Source organism: Homo sapiens, chromosome 10 (assembly GCF_000001405.40).
Source record: "Homo sapiens chromosome 10, GRCh38.p14 Primary Assembly".
NCBI classification, from domain to species: domain Eukaryota; kingdom Metazoa; phylum Chordata; class Mammalia; order Primates; family Hominidae; genus Homo; species Homo sapiens.
The window spans coordinates 94,499,582-94,522,782 of record NC_000010.11 but is presented as its reverse complement, the minus strand read 5'-3'; the positions used below and the strand labels follow the sequence as shown (position 1 = coordinate 94,522,782).

Sequence of the window (23,201 nt, the reverse complement as noted above, 5' to 3'; positions counted from 1 at the left end):
TGCCTGGCCAAGACTAAGTTTTTGTATATTTAGTAGAGACGGGGTTTCGCCATGTGGGACAGGCTGGTCTTGAACTCCTGACCTCAGGTGATCCGCCCACCTCGGCCTCCCAAAGTGCTCGGATTACAGACATGAGCCACCACACCCAGCCGAGTCCATGCTCTTAATCAAATGCGTCCCCACAAAAATTTGGAAGTTTCTAAATTTGTAAAAGAAGGCTCTTTATATGTAAAATCCTGCACATGAGATTTACTCTAGTTCCTAAAACACACAAAAAGTTATACTTTATTTCCTTTTCATTATTATATATTACGTATGTTATGACTTACCAGTCTATCAAGTATATATCTGGTGTAAGACTGTAAGATTTGAAGTGAAGAAATAATTTGGAAAGATTTTCTTCAAAGAATACTTCAAATGTTGCAAAATATTTCAACATCTAAAGATTAAAAAATCAATAAAATTATGAAAGTATATAGTCTAGAAATAAAGAAATTAAACGCTTAAACACTAACAGGAAATCGTGCTCATTAAGAATCTCATCTTTTTCTGAGTCTTCTCAGCAAACATTCATTAATAAACTATAATATAATGATAAGTTTATATTAGATTAGATTGTTTTGGCCTTCTAATTATTGTTTTTCACTCTAAGAGGGCATTCAAACTACAGAAACAATGGAAAACATGATCCATTCATACCATGCTGTGATCCACACGAAAAAAGGCCAACTGGCATGGCTTATTCAGGAGATTGGCAAATGCGATAAAGGCATCTGCCTCTTCCAAATTGAGAATGAGTACTGCTGCAATGAAGGACATCCCTTGGACCTTCAAAGGGAGAAAAATTTAGTCAAAATGGACTTACAATAATAAATCTATATAGTTTATTTTATTGTACTCCTGAAAAATTACAGTGACATTACAAAGTAGAATTAACCAAGATTTCTTTTTTCCTTCCCAGCAAAGGTAAATACAGAGAGCCCCTAATGATTACGAAATCTCCCTAATTTCTTGTTCATATGGTGTGGTTTTTCAACATTAGGGAGAATTTTTGAAAAACAAAAAAGTATCAGATTTTACTGCTACAAAAGGCTATCTCAGCGTATTACCTAGTTTTCATTTCCTCTCAGTCTGAATTCTTTCAAAATAGAGTACAGAATCACAAAATTTAATAAAAATCAGGTGATTATTTTCATTGTTATAACACATCTGAGTAAAAAATGAAGGACTCAGAATAAAAGAGATCTATCAGAAGTGCTGCTGAAATACCAAGAAAGGAGACGTTGTGGGGGTTGAGCCTGGAGTCCTGGAAAAGCAAGAGACAGAAATAGGAAAAAACCTAAAATGGAAAAGAAGCATGAACTAAGACACAAAAATGGGAACAATAGGACCAGCTCAGCTGGAGTAAGGAAAGGCATTTAGAGAAGGTAGGATGTGTTTATGTTGTGAAAGACCTTGAGTAAAAGGCTAAGCTGTATAGATGTTTGCTTCTTGCTTGTAAGTTATTGGCAGCTATCATATACTTCTTCTCCTGTTTTTTTTTTGTTTTTTTTTTTTTTTTGGTTTCTTTTTTTTGAAGCAGGGTCTCACTCAAGTCACCTAGGCTGGAATGCAGTGGCATATCATCTCACTGCAACCTCTGCCTCCCAGCTCCAGCTATCCTCCTGCCTCAGCCTCCTGAGTAGCTGAGACTATGGGTGTGTACCACCACGCCTGTCCAGCCCATACATTTGTTTAATTAAAAAAAAAAGTTATCACTTACTTCTAGAAGAGATTTGTATAATGGACTTACACAGTGAGACCATTAAGAATAACTGCAATGGGCCAGGCGCAGTGGCTCACGCCTGTAATCCCAACACTTTGGGAGGCCGAGGCGGGCGGATCACCTGAGGTCAGGAGTTCAAGACCAGCCTGGCTAACATGGTGAAACCCTGTCTCTACTAAAAATACAAAAAATTAACCGGGCGTGGTGGCAGGTGCCTGTAGTCCTAGCTACTCAGGAGGCTGAGGCAGGAGAATGGCGTGAACCTGGGAGGCGGAGCTTGCAGTAAGCCAAGATTGCGCCACTGCACTCCAGACTGGGTGACAGAGCGAGACTCGGTCTCAAAAAAAAAAGAACACCTGCAATGATAACTCTGTCTCTTGTTCCCAGCCAAGTGTTTTGAAAGGGATGCCTACAATCACTATCTCTATTTTCTCAGCTCCCTTTTCTTTTATTTTTTTATTTTTTTGAGATGGAGTTTCACCCTTTTAGCCCAGGCTGGAGTGCAATGGTGTGATCTCAGCTCACTGCAACCTCCGCCTCCCGGATTCAAGCGATTCTCCTGCCTCAGCCTCCCGAGTAGCTGGGATTACAGGCATGTGCCACCACCCCGGCTAATTTTGTATTTTTAGTAGAGACGGGGTTTCTCCATGTTGGTCAGGCTGGTCTTGAACTCCCGACCTCAGGTGATCCACCCACCTCGGCCTCCCAAAGTGCTGGGATTACAGGCGTGAGCCACTGCACCCGGCTCTCAGCTCCCTTTTCACCTTTAACACACTTCAGTATGTATTCCCACTCCATTACCATACTATTTTGAGATTTCTCTTGCCAGTATGACCAATGATACTTATTGAAAAACCCAGAGGGTGCTATCTCTCTTAACAGCATTCCCTTAGCTTCTGCAATCCAATTATTTCTTTGTTCTCATCTTATTTCTCTGTCTTCTTCTGAGTACTTTTTGCAGATTCTACAGTAATTGCCTATTTGATTTTCTAGAACTTAAGTTCCATGAAGACAGGGACTGTAGTAGGCATAATAATTGCCCACCAAAGATGTCCAAGTCCTTATTAATAACCAGAAGCTATGAATATGTTGCTGGACATGGTAAAAGGGACTCTACAGATATGATTAAGTCAAGGATCTTGAGATAGGGAGCTTATCCTGAATTATCTGGGTGGGCCTGAAGTAATCATCATGAGGTTCCTTATAAGTGAAAGAAGAAGGCAGGTTAGTCAGAGAGAGATTTGAAGATGCTACACTGCTGGCTTTGAAGATGGAGCTATAGGCCCATGAGCTAAGGAATGTAGGCAGCCTCTAGAAGGTGGAAAAAGCAAGGAAATGTATTCTCCCCTAGAACTTCCTGAGGAAGCACAACCCTGCCAATACTTTGACTTAAACCCAGTGAAGTCTATTTCAGACTTCTGACCTCCAGAATTGTCAAACAGTAACTTTGTGTTGTTGTTGTATGTGTGTTTGTTTAAATTTTGTTTTTGTAGAGACAGAGTTTTCCTATGTTGCCCAGGCTGGTCTCAAACTCCTGACCTCAAGTAATCTTCCCACCTCAGCCTCCCAAAGTGCTGGGATTACAGGCATGAGCCACTGCGCCTCGCCTAATTTGTGGTGTTTAAAGCCACTAAGTTTGTGGTAGTTTGTTACAGTATCCATAGGGAACTAGCACAGAGACCACACCATGTTTGTTTGTTCATAGTTGTATTCTTAGTACCACAATATTTGCTGAATGAATACAAGGGGCAAATTATTAACCATCTGTAATAGAATGGTAGCAAAGTAAATAGAAGGAATTAAAATTACATTTAATTGTACCTAAGATGGTGTTTAAGTAACATTATTTTACATACTGCTAAAAAAGAAAAAATGCTGCCAATTAAGCAATGGCATAATACCTTATCACTTGGAATATTTATTTACTTAATTAATTTTTTTGGAGACAGAGTTTAGCTCTTATCGTCCAGGCTGGAGTGCAGTGGCACGATATTGGCTCACCGCAACCTTCCCCTCCCAGGTTAAAGTGATTCTCCTGCCTCAACCTCCCGAACAGCTGGGAATAGAGGTGCCTGCCACCACGCCTGGCTAATTTTTGTATTTTTAATAGTGACGGGGTTTTACCATGTTGGCCTGACTGGTCTCAAACTCCTGACTTCAGGTGATCCGCCTGCCTTGACCTCCTAAGGTGCTGGGATTACAGGCGTGAGCCACCGTGTCCAGCCCGGAATATTATGCATATTTTTAAAACTATTTATAGCTCATTCAGATTTATTATATATCACTCTTGTGCATATATGAAAAGAAAATAAGAAAAAGTTATTTCTATAATTTCTTCAGAGTCCAATTCTTCTAAATATTTTGCATTATTTATTGACTCATGGTGTGATGCACTAAAAAAGATACATTGTTTATGTAGTATTGCTGACAAAACTGTCTAACCTGAATCTAATCATGAAAAAATAATCAAATTCAAGTTGAGGGTCGTTCCGCAAACAGCTAGACTTAACTTTTGAAAAGTGACATTGTTACGACACATACAAAAGGCTGAGGAACTGTTCTGTTTTAAAGGAAACTAAAAAGAACAACTAAATACCACACATGACCCTGACTGGTTCTCTACTAAAAATACAAAAATTAGCCAGGCATGGTGGCATGTGCCTGTAATCCCAGTTACTCAGGAGGCTGAGGCAGGAGAACTGCTTGAACCCAGAGGGCGGAGGTTGCAGTGAGCTGAGATTGTGCCACTGCACTCCAGCCTGGGTGACAGAGCGAGACTCTATTTCAAAAAAAAAGAAAAAGAAAAGAAAAAAAAGAATGCATAGTCCTTGAGGGAGAGTCCTAGGAGAAAAAAGAGAACAGCAATTGCAGTACAGAGCTCCATCACGCAGGCTGGAGTGCAGTGGCGGGATCTCGGCTCACTACAACATCCGTCTCCTGAGTTCAAGCAATTCTCCTTGCCTCAGCCTCCCGAGTAGCTCGAATTACAGGCCTATGCCACCACACCTGGCTAATTTTTGTATTTTTAGTAGAGACGGGATTTCGCCACGTTGGCCAGGCTGGTCTCGAACTACTGACCTCAGGTGATCCACCTGCCTCGGCCTCCCAAAATGCTGGGATTACAGGCATTAGCCACCGCACCCAGCCTGTGGTTCTTTTAAATAAGTATAACTGAAATGTGAACCAAGATTACCAAATTTTCTCAAGAATAAAATCTACAGATAAAACTTTCGTGAGTTATTTATAGATTCAGCATATGTTATTCATTAACATAGTTAAAAACGTATTTTGTCAAATCATGACATGAAATAGGTATTCCAATATAGTCTACACTATTTTTAACTTATAAAGTAAGTGTGATTTGACTGACTGGTTTGTCAGTGAGCCTTGATACCACCAGTTAAGTTATATGGTGGTCACTTTACATAAATTCAGTGACCTAACAGAGCTCATTTCAGCAGCAAATATACAGTGACCTAATAAGTCTGCAGCCAGGGTAAAAAAAAATATTTAAAACATATTCTAAAAAATCATTATCATAAGTGTAATAAAAGTAACAGTATTTTAATTTTCCCCAATTTTTCTCAGTATACCAGGTTAAACAAGTGCCTTTAAGTGAGGATTTTTGTTTGTTTGTTTTGAGACAGAGTCTCGCTCTGTCACCCACGCTGGAGTGCAGTGGCACAACCTCAGCTCACTGCAACCTCTGCCTCCTGGATTCAAGCAATTCTCGTGGCTCAGCCTCCTGAGTAGCTGGGATTACAGGCATGCGCCTCCACACCCATGTAATTTTTGTATTTTTAGTAGAGACAGGATTTTGGCATGTTGGCAAGGCTGGTCTCAAACTCCTGGCCTCAAGTGATCCGCCTGCCTCAGTGTCCCAAAGTGCTAGGGTTATAGGCATGAGCCACCGCACGCAGCCTGAAGATATAATTTTAATATATTTTTTTTCTTTTTTTAAAGTCTAGTGTAGGCTGGGTGCAGTGGCTCATACATAAACCCAGCACTTTGGGAGGCTGAGGTGGAAGGATCACTTGAGCCCAGGAGTTCAAGATCAGCCTGGGCAACATAGTGAAACCTTGTCTCAAAACAAAAAACACAAAACACAAAATAAAATTTAGCCTAAAATGTCAGTAATAGATATTTTGACTAGTCTCAATAAAGGCTTTTGGGATACTTTATAGAAATTGAGAAAGTGAACAATTCTAATGATTGGTAACAAAATGTTTTTGCATCTCAAGTAGTTAACAGTCTTCTGTATTCAATAAAGCTAAAGGAGAATCTAATTGAGTTACTGAGATAATTAAACCATCATTCTCAGCAAACTGTTCGCAAGAACAAAAAACCAAACACTGCATGTTCTCACTCATAGGTGGGAACTGAACAATGAGAACACTTGGACACAGGAAGGGGAACATCACACACGGGGGCCTGTCATGGGGTGGGGGGAGGGGGGAGGGATAGCATTAGGAGATATACCTAATGTAAATGACGAGTTAATGGGTGCAGCACACCAACATGGCACATGTATACATATGTAACAAACCTGCACGTTGTGCACATGTACCCTAGAACTTAGTATAATTTTAAAAAAAACAAAAAAAGTTGATTGAAAATTTATATATGCCCAACCAAAAAAATAAATTTGTTTTGTTTTTTTCATTTATGTAGTTTCTCTAATAGATTTGTTTTGATCAGTTATACTAATAATTGTAATAACACAAATTAGAAAAAACGTTTAATATTTAGAATATTATGTATATCAGAAATAAAGCTAATTTTTAATTAATTTATATATTTGTAGCAGAAGTATAATGAGATTACTAAAAGACTTTTGGGCAGAAAAGTGTTACATTAGAATAAAATTCTGTGAGAGAAATGAAATAAAATACAGTAGTCCTCCACTTTCCCCAGTTTTGCTTTCTGAAGTTTCAGTTTCCTACGGTCAACAGTGGTCTGAAAATATTAAATGGCAAGTTCCAGAAACAAACAAGTCATAAGTTTTAAATTGCATGCTGTTCTAAATAGGGTGGTAAAATCTGGAGTGGTCCTGCTCCTTCCTGCCAAGGAGGGGAATCATCCCTCTATCCAGTGTAACCATGTATATGCTACCCACCTGCCTAGTAGCCATCTCGGTTATAAGATCAACTGTTGTGGTATTGTAGAGCTTGTGTTTGAGTAATGCTTCTTTCACCTAAATTGTTAGAATAGTGTTATAATTGTTCTACTTTATTATTAGTTATTGCTGTTTATGTCTTATTGTGCCTAATTAATAAATTTTATCATAGGTATGTATGTACAGAAAAAACATAGTATATATAGGATTCTGCACTATCTGCAGTTTCAGGACAAGTACAAAACCCTACATAGGCCGGGCAGGGTGGCTCACGCCTGTAATCCCAGCACTTTGGGAGGCCGAGGCGGGTGGATCGCCTGAGGTCAGGAGTTCGAGACTAGCCTGGTCAACACAGTGAAACCCCGTCTCTACTAAAAATACAAAAAATCAGCTGGGCATGGTGGCGGGCGCCTGTAATCCCAGCTACTTGGGAGGCTGAGGCAGGAGAATTGCTTGAACCCAGAAGGTGGAGGGTGCAGTGAGCCAAGATCATGCCATTGCACTCCAGCCTGGGCAACAAGAGCGAAACCCCGTCTCAAAAACAAAAACAAAACAAAACAAAAAAACCAAACCTATATATTCCACTTGGTGTCTTGGAATATATCCCCTGAGGATAAGCGGGGACTGCTTTATATGGCTATTACCAAAAAGACAAAACATAAGTGTTGGTGAGGTTGTTGGAAAAAAAAACTTGCGGCCGGGCGCGGTGGCTCACGCCTGTAATCCCAGCACTTTGGGAGGCCGAGGCGGGCGGATCACGAGGTCAGGAGATCGAGACCATCCCGGCTAAAACGGTGAAACCCCGTCTCTACTAAAAATACAAAAAATTAGCCGGGCGTAGTGGCGGGCGCCTGTAGTCCCAGCTACTTGGGAGGCTGAGGCAGGAGAATGGCGTGAACCCGGGAGGCGGAGCTTGCAGTGAGCCGAGATCCCGCCACTGCACTCCAGCCTGGGCGACAGAGTGAGACTCCGTCTCAAAAAAAAAAAAAAAAAAGAAAAAAAAAACTTGCACACTGTTTATAGGAATGTAAATTAGTACAGCTATTATAGAAAACTGTATGGAAGTTCTTCAAAAAAAACTAAAAATAGAATTACTATATGGTCCAGCAATCTCACTTCTGGCTATTACCCAAAAGACTTGAAATCGGTATGTCAAAAAGATACCTGCACTCCCATGTTCATTACAGCACTACTCAAAATAGCCAAGTTAAGGAATCAACATAAGTGTCCATCAACAGATGAATGGGATGAGAGAGTGTGTGTATGTATACAAAAGAATACTGTTCAGCCTTAACAAAGGAAGAAATTATGTCGTTTGGGAAAACATGGATGGAACTGGAGAACATTATGCTAAGTGAAATAAGGCAAAAAACAGAAAAGCAAATATTGCATGTTCTCACTTAAATGTGTAATCTAAAACCACTGAACTCATAGAAGCAAAGAGTAGAATAGTGGTTACCAGAGGCTTGGGGGTGGGGAAGACGATAATCAAAGAGTACAAAAAGCTCCAGTTAGAAAGGAGGAGTAACTTTAATTTTTTTGAGACAGGGTCTCACTCTATCGCCCAGGCACCATTTCGGCTTACTACAGCTTCAAGAGCCTGAACTCTAGCGATCTTTCCACCTCAGCCTCTTGAGTAGCTGGGACTACAGGTGCACACCACCACACCTGGCTAATTTTTTATTATTTGCAGAGATGAGGTCTCACTGTGTTGCTCAGGCTGGTCTTAAAACTCCTGGGCTCAAGCGATCTTCCCACCTTGGCCTCCCAAATGCTGGGATTACATGCCTGGGATTACATGCCTGGGATTACAGGCATGAGCCACCATGCCTGGCCTGTTTTTTTTTTTTTGTTTTTTTTTTGAGATTTATTACACAACATGGCAAATACAACTAATAACTGAGTTCTGTACATTTCACAGTCACTCAGAGAGTAAATCTCAAATTACTCTCATTACAAAAAATGTCAGATATTTCAGATGTTGGGCAGGTTAATTACTTTGTTTTAATTATACAACGTTATATTTAAAAAAATCATAATATCAGCCAGGCACAGTAGGTCACACTTGTAATCCCAGCACTATGGGAGACCAATGCAGGCGGGTCACTTGAGCCAGGAGTTCAAGATAAGCCTGGGAAACAGTGCCCTGTCTTAACACAAAATACAGAAAATTAGCCAAGCATGGTGGCTTGTGCCTGCAGTCCCAGCTACCTGGGAGGCTGAGATGGAAGAATCACCAGGGACCAGGGGACCAGGAAGTCGAGGCTATAGTAAGTCATGATCACGCCATTGTACTCTAGCCTGGGTGACAGAGTGAGACCCTGTCTCAAAAAAATAAAAATAAAAAAAGAAATACAAGTTCAGAGAAAAAGCAAAAATGTAAAATATTAATGAAGAGCTTGTTAATATATTTTTCTTTAAATGGACTATGATATATGTAAATTTATTACAGTATTTAAACTCCACTACAGACTTTTTTTTGAGACAGGGTCTTGCTGTGTTGTGCAGGCTGGAATGCAGTGGTCCAATCCTAGCTCACTGCTGTCTGGGAGTCCTGGGCTCAAGCGATCTTCCTGCCTCAACCTCCCAAAGTGCTGGGATTTACAGGTATGAGACACTGTGCCCAGCCTGGGGACACTTTTTTTTTTTTTTGTGAGACAGAGTTTTGCTCTTGTTGCCCAGGCTGGAGTGCAGTGGCACGATCTTGGCTCACTGCAACCTCCGCCTCCCAGATTCAAGCGATTCTCCTGCCTCAGCCTCCTGAGTAGCTGGGATAACAGGCGCGTGCCACCATGCCCAGCTAATTTTTGTATTTTCAGTAGAGACGAGGTTTCACCATGTTGGTCAGGCTGGTCTCGAACTCCTGAATATGGAATCTGCCCGCCTAGGCCTCCCAAAGTGCTGGGATTACAGGCGTGAGCCACCACGCCCGGCATGCCTGGGGACATTTTTAGAAAACTATAAGATGTCAACATTTAACCAGTGCTAAAAAATTAAATTATTTACAAGTAAACTTACGATGAAAAACTTTAAACTTCAACTTTAACATGTGAAGGGGATACAAGGTGTTCTTACAATTCATTCACAGAATACCTGAGTAAGAGAGTTTAAAGACTCTTTGCTCAAATCTAACTTTCTCTATAAGGACTATCTTACGATCTTTTCAAATACTACAACCTGCCCCACCCTAAATCTAGCACTTTCCCCCTTTATCATCTCACACTTTTCTACAGCACTTATCTTTTAATATAACATGATTTACTTATTTGTTTGTTGTTTATTGTCTGTTTCTTTCTTCTAAACTGTAAGCATCATAAGGACAGAAATCATTTTGTTCATTGAGGTATTTCAAGTGCCTAGAACAATGCCTGACATATAGTCATAAGAGCACAATAAATATTTGTTGAGTAAACAAACATAGAAATGAACATGCAACAGAACAAAGTAACTTGTACCAGACAGCCACCCTATAGAGAGGTCTAACATTCTTCTATTTTAAGGCAAAGGTGAGAAGATGAAAGTTCTATAACTTCTAGTTAAAAATGGCAATTGAACATCACATCTTTCTTTGTTCTCCTGCAAAATCCAACTAAAAATACAGTAAAGAAAAAATAAATATTAACCCACAAGGACTACAAGAATGAAAAATTATACAGTAGATAGTTAATAGTATTTTAGAAATTGTAAATTAAATAAGTGTAGAATGTTAAAACTAAAATATCTACAGAGGAGGAAGCCAATAATCAGCAAGCCAATTCAGCTGTAAAACCCTGAAGGCTCAGAAGCTGAAGTTGTCAGGTACCTGTGAAATGGAGAAAGAGAGCTAAAAATAGGATTGGGTGAAAGTCTGTATAAGGAGCAAATCCCCTCCCCTATCCTTTAGGGACAGGTACCTATCCTTCCCTTAACCTGGTAGAACATAGGAGGTTTACTCTCTAGAGGCACAGTCATGGAAAAGAGGGTTAGGAAGAGGGGGACAAGGCATCACACTGATATCAGGGCATGAGATAAAAGTTTATAAATTGCATGGTGAAATCTCCCGCAGCTCCCCCAGAAAGCTGGCAGCCTCAAGTACATATAAGCTCTTGGCAAGAGATAGAAAGATTCTTCACTGGGTAAATTGATAAGCCTAAGAAAAACAGACATAGAAATACAGACATTTGGGAGCTAATACAACATAGGATATTTTGATAAAGAGTGTAGATAAAATGCTTATATTCAAAAAACAGATGGAAACAAATACTTACATAACCAACATCAGGCCTGTAGCATGTGTATGCCCCTAAAATACTATGCAAGACATCATGATATGGACCACCCTTAGGAGAGAAAAATGAAATTTGAAACTGTACAAATAATTTTCTCTAAGTTAATTTTCATATAACATGTTAATAAACTGTAGCATTTCCTAAATGACTAGTTTTAGCATATTTAATAAAAAATATTATAAATGTACTCTGCCAAGATGTTTTCCAAATTATGAATAATAAATATTTAATACTGCAGATGGGTGCGGTGGCTCATGCCTATAATCCCAGCACTTTAGGAGGTCGAGATGGGCAGGTCATTTGAGGCCAGGAGTTTGAGACCAGCTTGGCTAACATGGTGAAACCCCATCTCTACTACAAATACAAAAATTAGCTGGGCATGGTGTCATACGCCTGTAATTCCAGCTACTCGGGTGGCTGAGGCACAAGAATCGCTTGAACTCAGGAGGCAGTGGTTGCACTGAGCCAGGACTGTGCCACTGCACTCCAGCCTGGGCAACAGAGTGAGAATCTCTCAAAAAAAAAAAAAAAAAAAAAAGAAATATTTACTACTAAATAACAACAACAACAAAAAGCCAAATAAACTTACTTGATGGATACAAGCTATATAATTTGTCAACAGTTTTAAAATCTTCTAGATTTGGTATAAGGGTATGATGAATACACACTGTTTCATTTTATGTAATACACCATCAGCAGAAAAAAAACCATCAAGCTAAACTAAACTGTGTTAATAATTTTAATCTTAATGGTAAAAATTTTTATCTCATTTTATTTTTATCAATCTAAAGATAGAAGAATTCCATGTATAAAGACTTGAATCAGCTGGGTGTGGTGGCACATGCCTGTAATCCCATAATCCCAGCTATGCAGGAGGCTGATGCAGGAGGATTGCTTGAGCCTAGGAGTTTGAGTCCAGCCTGGGCAACACAGCAAGACCTGATCTCAAATTTAAAAAGAAATAAAAATAAAGACATGAGTCAAAGATAAAGTATATATAATGTAGTCATTTCTCTTTTCATAAGGTATAAGCAACTTCATAATAGCCTATGTACAAAGAAAACCATTTCTTCCTATTTTAATGATAATTCTGAAAATTTTTAAGTTTTGTGAAAAGTTCTTTATACTTTAACAATTTACTAGGCCAAAATATTAAGAATTCATATATCTTACAAAATAAAAAGCAAAATAAATTCACTGTAATAAAATTCATCAAGTGCCTACTACATAAAAGGTATTAAATGCTATGCTAACTATAATGTATTTCGGTCAGTGGAATAAAATAATAGAAATTCCTTTATAATTTTATAACTAGTTTTACACTTTTTATACAGGGTCCCCAATTTCTATAGTTTTGCCTTTTTTAAAGTAATAGCTATTCATTTAAAGAATCTGTTGCCTTGGATATTGATAGATTTTTTTTAAGTAATTACAAGCTGGTTAGAAACCCTCACCTTCTGAAAGATGTAGAGAGATGGAAATGTACGGGATATGTCCAACTTAATTAATTCCAGACTGGCCTCTCGATCAGCAACAGATACACCTGCATTTACCAAGCAGATACAATTTAAATGATCACTTGGCTCTAACAAGTCCAATTTTATAAATACAGAATGATCACACAGCATGTGTTATTTAAGTTAAAAGCTGAATAATCAAGAAATTATAAGAAATGTCACATAGCTTTTGTTAGAACTTGTTATTCTCTTGTACAAAGAAAATAGCTATACATTTATCAGAAAGTTATATGGTAAAGGATTTCTAATTCCAGTTTTTACAGAAGATATGGGCAGACCATCATTTCCATGGTAACAACTAGGAAAAAAATTTACAAATATCACATTTAAAAAATCATCAGAGAGCTATGGACACAGAGAGATCAATAGGATTTAAATTCCAGAAAAGTAAGAGTCTTTCCTTGGTGAGTAGACACCAGTGTCCATTTTTCTTCCTAGGGGTATCTGCCAGGTCTAGGTATGGGCTTAGGATCGAGCTCGCCGAAGACAAAGTCACCCTAGTTGGAGGAAGAGAAACCAGAAGAGCTACACATGGCCAAATAAAATTGATGTGATAGACAAGAATCTGGAGGAGCCCTGAATGTGTATCTGGTTTTCCCTATGGGACTTTTCTGAATGCAGAAGGCTGGGCTAGAAATGCAGAATAAAATCATCCAAAGTCACAAGGTCTTGAGAGGGCATATCATTGGAGGGAGATTACCTGTAGTCAAAATAGAACACTTTGGTCCGGGTGTGGTGGCTCATGCCTGTAATCCTAGCACTTTGGGAGGCCAAGATGGATCACCTGAGGTCAGGAGTTCGAGACCAGCCTGACCAACACGGTGAAACCCTGTCTCTACTAAAAATTAGCCGGGCATGGTGGAGCGCACCTGTAATCCCAGCTACTCAGGGGACTGAGGCAGGAGAATTGCTTGAACCTGGGAGGCAGAGATTGCAGTGAGCCAAGATCTTGCCACTGCACTCCAGCCTGGGCGACAGGGTGAGCATCTCAAAAAAAAAAAAAAAAAAACACTTTTTCCCATCAAGAAATTTGAAACTCAAGATAAACTAAGTCTATCTAAACCTACAACCTTGCCCCAACCTAGATCAATTAATGGTTGAATTGAGGTGATAAGCCCTTAATCGAACTGCCTAACAGGAAAGAGCAGCTTACTCTGCAGGGGAAACCTCAGCTTTGGTTTCTACATTCTTTTTATATACAATGTCTGGCATACAATTTAAACATTTAAGATATACAAAGAAGCAGAAAATGTGACTTACAACCACTTTAAAGGGGAAACAAGGGGAAAAACAGCCGACAGAGGCAGACCTGCAGATGATGCAGTATTGGAATTAACAGGCAATGACACTATCTGTTATAAATATGTTAAAGAAAATATCTGGCTGATATGCGCTAGAGAAAAAAATAATAATAAATTTTAAAAAGAAAATAAGAGGAAAAGATGGCGGAAGGAACATGGGATGGGAAGATGAATTTCAACAGAGAAACAGAATGTATAAAAAGAACCAAGTGAACATTCTACAATTACAAAGCACATCTGAAATTAAAAGCCCATTACACAGATTTAGATTTAATAGCAGACTAGATAAACCAGAAGAAAGGATTAGTGAATTTGATGACGGATCAATAAAAATCAATGAAACTGAAGCAGAGAAAGAGAGAGAGAGAGAGAGAGAAAAAGAATTGGCCAGGCACAGTGGTTCATGCCTGCAATCCCAGCACTTTGGAAGGCCAAGGCAGGATTGCTTGAGGCCAGGAGTTTGAGACTAGCCAGGGAAACATAGAGAGACCCCATCCCTATATGATGAATTAAAATTTTTTTCAATTATATAAAATTATATCTATCCCCCACCAAAAAAAGAAAAAAAAAAGAGAGAGTATAAGAGGCTTGTGAAACACTGTTAAATGGTCTACTATACATGTAATTGGAGTCCAGAAGGAAAACAGGCAAGAAAGGGCAGAAGCAATATTTAAAAAGACAATGACCAAAAAGTTAAATGACACATGCAAATTATACATATCCAGGAAATAAGAAAACAGTAATTTATGTAGACACTGCTTCTGACTAGAACTCTTCATTACATTCAATTAATTTCTACTAAAGTGCAATTTTCACCATTTATTCTTTTTCTTTGGAGATGAAGTCTGTTACCCAGGCTGGAGTGCAATGGCGTGATCTCAGCTCACTGTAACCTCTGCCTCCCAGGTTCAAGACATTCTCCCTGCCTCAGCCTCCCAAGTAGCTGGGATTGCATGCACCTGCCACCACGCCCGGCTAATTTTTGTTTTTTTAGTAGAGATGGGGTTTCGCCATGTTGTCCAGGCTGGTTTCAAACTCCTGACCTCAGGTGATCCACCTGCCTTGGCCCCCCAAAGTGCCAGGATTACAGGTGTGAGCCATCCGCCCAGCCTCACCATTTATTATTGAAAAAATATTTCAGAAGTGAATACTTATAATTTTAATTCTCATAATTTCAATGCTTCATAAAAATGAGTCAAAAATGATGAAATAGCTGCTGTCTGCCAGTATAAACTTCTTTACCTTTTACATACTTTTAGTTCTCCACAAATAGCTGACATAGCTAAGAGGTCTTAGGATGATACTTACATGAACTTTTCTGTAAATCAAGTCTTTTTTCTAGCCTTGTTTACTGAAAGGGTTAAGATTAAATAAGATGATATATGTAAAGCGATTACTACAGCTTCTGATACATGCTCAGTATCTGAATTTTCATCCTAAAATTCTTATTTAAAAAAAGAAATCACACCTTCTGTATCATTCTCTGAACTTGTTTCACTGAAACTTTTCCACCGTTCTTTTGCTCTTGAGAGGAAGATTTCATAAAGTTCTGGGGGTTGGGGGGAGAACAAAAATGTATGAATAATAGGAAAGAAATATATTTGCAAATTTTAATTTTTACTCTTTACCTATTACAGGTCAGGTCTCTCTGATGTAGCAAGCATCAAAAAAGTGGCAAATCTAAGTACTTGATTCTACCAAAACTATTCATTATATACTCAGAAAGAAAGTAAATAAAATTACTGCAGAGTAATCATCCATACAGAATGTACATATGAGGCAGAAAGAGATGCTTCTGCTAAGAAGTATCATTGTGGAACAGCAGAAAAAAATGATTTTTGGAGTCAATCAGACCTAGATTCAAATTCTGGCTCTGCCATTTACTATCTGAGGGACTTCAAGAAAGTTATTTAGCTACCCTGGAACTCAGCTTTCTTTACCTGTAAACCAGAGAAAAACAACACCTACTCATAGGGTTACTGATGATTAAATAATATATGTAAAGCTCCTGGCACCTCATAGCACTTCAACAGATGCTCGATCTTGCTTTCTATCACTACTGAAACTGGTTTCTCCATTATGATATTGCTATCTAAAGCTACTTATATTTCACACAGACTTGGTGTGTGTCACCAACAAACAAAATCTCTACCCCTATCTTTTTAATTTAAGTGCCTAGTCACGGCACTCCCATATGCAGGGTCTCATAAAAACTTCAGGACAGGAAAGATTTCAAAAGTTTTCTCAATTCCCAAATTTTTTTGGTCTTTATTTTGTAACTAACTATTGCAGATATTTGAAACTACATAAAAATAGGACATTTCAGGGACAGAAGAATAGAAAAAATACGTCTTGCCCAAACACCAAAGTTTATATATTGTCCAAAATAAGTTTTTTGCTTCAATTAATTCTTTTTAAAATTTTATTCATTTTTAAAGGTAATACAAGAACATGGTTTTAAAAAATTTCAAAAAGTAGGCCGGGCATGGTGGCTCATGCCTGTAATCCCAGCACTTTGGGAGGCCGAGGCGGGTGGATCACCTGAGGTCAGGAGTTTGAGACCAGTCTGGCCAACATGGTGAAACCTTGTCTCTACTAAAAATACAAAAAATTTAGCTGGGCATGGTGGTGCATGCCTGTAATCCCAGATACTTGGGAGGCTGAGGCAGGAGAATCACTTGAGCCCGGGAGGCAGAGGTTGCTGTGAGCAGAGATCGCACCACTGCACTCCAGTCTGGGCAACAAAGCGAGACTCCGTTTAAAAAAAAAAAAAATTTCAAAAAGTACAAAATAGTGTAGAGAGAAAAATAAATTTCCTTTCCTCAGATGCAAGTGTGGTTATCAGAGCTCTAATTCTTCCAAGAATGAAAATATGCATGCACAAGCATATACATAAATATATAATCCTTTTTAAAAAAATTAAAGTGGCAACATGTTTCATGCACTGGTCTGTATCTTACTTTGTTATATTAGAGGTTGTTCCACGTTAGTAGATATAGATTTGCTTTTGTTTCTTTTAAACAACTGCATAATTTTCCAAAGTAATGACTATACCATAACGAGTATTCTTATATTGCCAAGAAGCATATCATTATCAAATATCTGAGTAGATATATTTCAAACAGACTCTTACTATTCTAATCTTTTCTCCCTTCTATTTACTTTTCATCATTACTAATGGTTTGGAAAGAAGAAATTAAAAAAAAAAACTTAGAATTCCTATTCTTCTTCTTCTTATTTTTTGAGACAGGGTCTTTCTCTGTTGCCCAGACTGGAATGCAGTGGTGTGACCTCAGCTCATTGCAACCTCCCCCTCCCGGGTTCAAGCAATTCTCAGCCTTCTGAGTAGCTGGGATTACTGGCATGCACCAACACATCCAGTTAATTTTTTGTATTTTCAGTAGAGTCATGGTTTCACCATGTTGGCCAGGCTGGTCTTGAACTCCTGGCCTCATGTGATCCACCTGCCTCGGCCTCCCAAAGTGCTAGGATTACAGGCGTAAGCCACCACACCAGGCAAAATTCCTATTATTTATGCCTGGCTCCATCAGTGATTTCATAGAAGAGATGAATATAAGGTTAAAATTTATACATATAATTATTTGGGGGTTATTAGGTATAAAATTGTAAGTTTTTTTAAAAAATTCAAACTGGTTCTAAGACAGTCAGCTTCAATATTATACCCAAATTTTAAAACTATCTAAAAAAAAGGGGGCTCACCAGACAAACCCATCAGTTTTATAAGTCATAAAATTGATCTAATAATAAAAATGTGGTAATGATTTCAAAACATCAAAGGACATCTCTCCAGTAAGATTCACAGTTAAGAAGACCTGCATCTCAGTTCACTTTGATGCTTAGGTCCTCATGTCACACTTACTTTGCTTTGAATCTGCAAAGGGAGAGTTTGAAGCAGGCTTAAAGATGATACTTTGGACTTGAACAGAGAATACTTTGATTTCAGTGTATATTTTGCTTTCTGATTTTGTGACAATTATGATATTATCCATACTCTCAGCAAAATGCACTTTCACTATTGTTTTATATTATCACAAATAACTGTTAGAACACTCCTTTCATATTCTTACCCCTATTTTACAGGTGAAGAAAAACTAAGATTTCTAGATGTTAAGTAATATGCCCAAGGTCACAAACCTAATATATTATGGTGGAACCAAGATTTGAACCATATTTGACTGACTTTAGAGCCCTTACTCTTAGCTACTATTCTCTAATGATTATAAATTTCATGACTAAAACAAGTCAAATTACTAAAGCCATTCAAAAGTAAACAAGATTAACAAAAATAAATGTAATTCAATCCAATTTTAGCATCTTTTCCGCACTAATAAAAAAGGAGAGAATAAACACACATTCCATTCTTGAATACATAAATGTTTAGTGAAGAAAATCGAAAATTATGTTGGAAATAAATGACTCAGTTATGTTACAAAACTATAAATTTCAAGCTAAAAACGAACCTTTTGATTATAGTATCACAAAACGTTAACACCAATTTAACCAATATTTTAATGTCTAAGTTATCAAGATAAATCAGATTCTAAAGCCAGTTATCAATAAAAATTGCAAACATAACTTCATATAACCATCAATACCTCATTACCTGTTTGCAAAATTGATTCTTAAGACTTTAAACAATTACAGTATGTTCAAAAATTCTTATTATTTAGAAAATCTAACTGAAAGTTCTGACTATAATTTAAAAACATTCAATCTGTTCCAAACTCAGAAAGCAAAAGTAATCTCTGTGTATATTTGGAGAGAACAGTTAAGTCATATAAAATCTAACTTTTTCTAAGTTAAATAAAAACTTAATTCTTCCTTTAAATTCTATTCTAAAAGTTTTTAAGTTCTTTGAAAATAACATGTTGGCTGGGCACAGTGGCTCATGCCTGTAAGCCCAGCACTTTGGGAGGCCGAGGTGGGCCTATCACTGGAGGTCAAGAGTTCGAGACCAGCCTGGCCAACATGGCAAAACCCCATCTCTACTAAAAATACAAAAATTAGTCAGTGTGGTGGCAGGCCCCTGTAATCTCAGCTACTTGGGAGGCTGAGGCAGGGACAACTGCTTGAACCCAGGAGGCAGGGGCTGCAGTGAGCTGAGAGAGCACCACTGCACTCCAGCCTCAGCGACAGAGCAAGACTCCATCTCAAAAATAAATACATAAAAATAAATAAATAAATAAAATAATATGTTTATTACAGGAGACTTGTGAAAATCAAATTTTAAAATCATACATAATCATAATATCCAAAGTTGGCATTGCTTTTCAGACAAAGGGTAAACATTTAATTTTTGTTATAATTCTGTCCAATTATATATAATGCTGATTGCTGCAATGAACATTTTTGTAGAAAAGCTTTTGCATCCAATCCTGGCTATTTCCTCAGAGTAAATTCTTAGAACTGAAATAAACAGTCAAAGGTTATTTGTTTGAGACCTTTGGTAAATATTTATGAATGATTTTCAGTCATCCTCGTATGGGTAATTCTCATTCATTTTAATCTCTTTTGAGGGATGAAAAACAGTACTTGGATGTTAACATATATGTCTTTTTTATAGAATGGCAGGAAAAAATATATGTCTTTGATTTGGCTATCTCAAGGAAAACAGTTAAATAAATTATAGTACAGCCAAATTGTGGAATACAATGTAGCTGTAGTACATATGAGACAGACTTGTATGTACTAACATGGAAGATGTTCAAGATAGATTATAGTGTGAAGAAAGAAAGCCACAGAATAACCTTATGGCATAAATTGTGGGTGAAAAAATAAAAAAGAAAAGCTTTAAAATTGATCATATGTAGATGCACACTTTATGTACATAGAAAAAAGACCAGAAAGAATATACACCAAATTGCTAACAGTGTTTACAGTAGGATCAAGAATAGCAGTTCAGGTGGAAGAGCAGACACTTGTACCTTCTCATTACTTTAACTTTTTCCAATAAATATAAAAAGAAAAATTTTAGAAGTAACAGTGACAATATATTATTTCTAGTATTAAAGTCCTTAAGTCTTTATGTGGTGCCATTGTCTAGCATTAACATTATCATTTAGACCAATTTAGCACATTTTATTATTAACTATTTATTTATTTAGAGACAGGGTCTCACTCTGTCGCCCAGGCTGGAGTGCAGTGGCACAATCACAGCTCATTGCACCTCCTGAGCTCAAGCGATCCTCCCACCTCACCCTCTCGAGTGGTGTGACCACATGCGGGCTGCCTGGCTAATTTTGAGATTTTTTTTGTAGAGACGGGGTCTCGCTATGTTGCCCAGGCTGGTCCCAAACTCCTGGGCTCAAGAGACCTATCCGCCTCAGCCTCCTGAAGTGCTGGGATTACAGACATGAGCCACCATGCCTGGCCTATAAACTATTTTACTTTCCTCTATTTGATATTATTCTAATTTTATCTAATTTTAAAAATTTATTTATTTATTTATTCTATTTTATTTTTGAGATGGAGTTTCGCTCTTGTTGCCCAGGCTGGAGTGCAATGACGCAATCTCGGCTCACTGCAACCTTCGCCTCCTGGGTTCAAGCGATTCTCCTGCCTCAGCCTCCCGAGTAGCTGGGATTACAGACATGCGCCACCACGCCCAGCTAATTTTGTATTTTTAGTAGAGACGGGGTTTCTCCATGTTGGTCAGACTGGTCTCAAATTCCCGACCTCAGTTGATCCACCCGCGTTGGCCTCCCAAAGTGCTGGGATTACAGGCGTGAGCCACCGCGCCTGGCCAAATTATTTATTTATTAATTTAGAGACAGAGTCGTGCTCTGTAGCCCTGTTTGGAGTGCTGCGGCACAATCATAGCTCACTGTAACCTTAAACTCCTGGGCTCAAGCAATCCTCCCATCTAAACCTCCCAAGTAGCTAGGACTACAGGCATGAGCCACCATGTCCAGCTTAATTTTTTAAAAACTCATCAAAACTACTCTGCAAGCCAGGCACGGTGGCTTACACCTGTAATCCCAGCACTTTGGGAGGCTGAGGCAAGTGGATCACTTGAGGCCAGGAGTTTGAGACCAGCCTGGCCAGCATGGCAAAACCCCATCTCTACTAAAAATACAAAAAATTAGCCAGGCGTGGTGGTACACACCTGTAGTCCCAGCTACTCAGGAGGCTGAGGCAGGAGGATCGCTTGAACCCGGGAGGCGGAGGTTACAGTGAGCCGAGACTGCGCCACTGCACTCCAGCACAGCAACAGAGCGAGACTCCATCTCAAAAACAAAAACAAAAAAACTACTCTACATTTTGCTCCTATCCACCAAAGTTTAAGAAACTTAAGAAAATAATATAACTCTTTGAAAGTCTTATTTCTTCTTCTGTTCTTTAAAGGTTTTTTTTTTCTTTTTTTGAGACAGAGTCTCGCTCTGTAGCCCAGGCTGGAGTGCAGTGGCTTGATCTCAGCTCACCGCAACCTCTGCCTCCCGGGTTCAAGCAATTCTCCTGCCTCAGCCTCCCAGCACACGCTGCCACGTCTGACTAATTTTTCGTATTTTAGTAGAGAAGGGGTTTCACCGTGTTGCCCAGGCTGGTCTCGAAATCCTGAGCTCAGGCAATCCACCTGCCTTGGCCTCCCAAAGTGCTGGGATTACACGCATGAGCCACCATGCCCGGCTAAAGTTTTTTCTTTATGCAGCTAATCAAGTTATAAACTTTAAAATTATTTTATTTATTTATTTATTTATTCATTCATTCATTCATTCATTCATTTATTCATTCATTCATTTGAGATAGAGTCTCGCTCTTTTGCCCAGGCTGGAGTGCACAGGCGCGATCTCGGCTCACTGCAGCCTCTGCCTCCTGGGTTCAAGTGATTCTTCCACCTCAGCCTCCCAAGTAGCTGGGATTACAGGCATGTGTCACCATGCCCAGCTAATTTTTGTATTTTTACTAGAGACAGGGTTTCGCTATGTTGGCTGGGCTGGTCTTGAACTCCTGACTTCAGGTGATCCACTTGCCTTGGCCTCCCAAAGTGCTGGGATTACAGGCATGAGCCACTGCGCCCGGCCTAAACTTTTCAAATTAAAAAAAAAATCCCAAAATGACTGGTTTAGGTAAAGAAGGAGGAAAAGAAACTTTTAGCCTTCCTCCAGTATTTATGTTTTCTGTATAAAAGTGAAGCCTTTTCATAATTGACTATTTTCTTTTTTCTTGTATATACATATTATCCACTGCCAAGTAGAATCCCAGAAGTTTTTGATATTTGAATGCCAAGAAGATTATTGATAGTTGTGAACTAAAGGGAAAACCATAAATCTTTATATAAAATGTAATAACTTATTAAATCATAACAGGTTTAATAACCTGCTTCATAACAGGGGGATGAAGCATGCTTTTAAAATGACATTATATATGATAAAGGCCATTTATTTTAATGGTCACTCTACTAATCTGCTATGTAACTCTGTAGATGGCTATTTGTACATGTGGGAATAACTGAACGTAGAATACAAACCAGGAGTGATATTTAGTTCATTTCCTACAGCTAGACTCCAAACTTTCCCACGGACACTAGGGGGCAATCCCTGCCACCACAATTCTCGAACTCTTCTTGTACTACGCCTAGAATTAAAGGAGGAGAAAAAAGGAGAAAGTTACTTTTTATACCAAAAATACTAGTTGCATGATGGATTATCTTTAGTCTATGGCCAAGTGATCAAATCATTTTTAGGACTATAGAGAATTAAGTATGTAATGCATTCTTTTCTTTGCGTTCATGCTTGCAGGCAACAACAGCCTACAAGATGTATAGGATCCCAAAGGGGCAACAGTAATCTAAAGGGAACTGCGTTTTATAAATGTCAATGAGAGAATCAGAAATATGCAGTCAATTATTTAAAAAACAGGATAAAAGGGACATAAAAATGTATCACCAATTCAGCACCAAAAACAAAACAACCAAGAATCTACAGTGGGAAGGCCCTAGTTTTTGAGAAGCAGTAAAGTCTGCTAAAAAAAACTGTCGGCTTTAAAGTCAGATAGATCTGAGATCCAATCTAGTTTAACCATTAATTAAATGTATAACCTTGGGCAAATCACTTAACCTCTCTGACCTTGAGTTTCCTTATAAGATAAATGGGAGTAAAAATACATACACCTTATAAAAGTTCTAAGACTCAAATGCAATTACTTATGTAAAGTGCCTCAGATAATATGTCACACTGTGCCAATATTCAACAAATTCCCAATGTACAAACTACA

General features: G+C 38.5%; 1 protein-coding gene across 9 annotated transcripts in view; it reads right to left on the bottom strand.

Annotated features, from left to right (window-relative positions):
- TBC1D12 (TBC1 domain family member 12) overlaps window positions 1–23,201 on the bottom strand; it is a 133,792-nt gene that overhangs the window by 13,550 nt on the left and 97,041 nt on the right. For 5 of the 9 annotated variants that reach the window (NM_015188.2, XM_011539558.4, XM_017015999.3 and 2 more), the window contains 6 exons: window positions 22,456–22,562; window positions 15,436–15,516; window positions 12,604–12,692; window positions 11,129–11,200; window positions 700–828; window positions 330–439 (listed from right to left, as the gene is read on the bottom strand). In NM_015188.2, coding sequence (NP_056003.1) covers window positions 330–439; window positions 700–828; window positions 11,129–11,200; window positions 12,604–12,692; window positions 15,436–15,516; window positions 22,456–22,562 — 588 coding nt within the window. Of the gene's footprint in view, window positions 1–329; window positions 440–699; window positions 829–11,128; window positions 11,201–12,603; window positions 12,693–13,066; window positions 13,164–15,435; window positions 15,517–22,455; window positions 22,563–23,201 lie in introns of those variants that run through there. The other 4 variants (XM_006717732.5, XM_047424905.1, XM_047424906.1 and 1 more) reach the window with 4 other exon arrangements.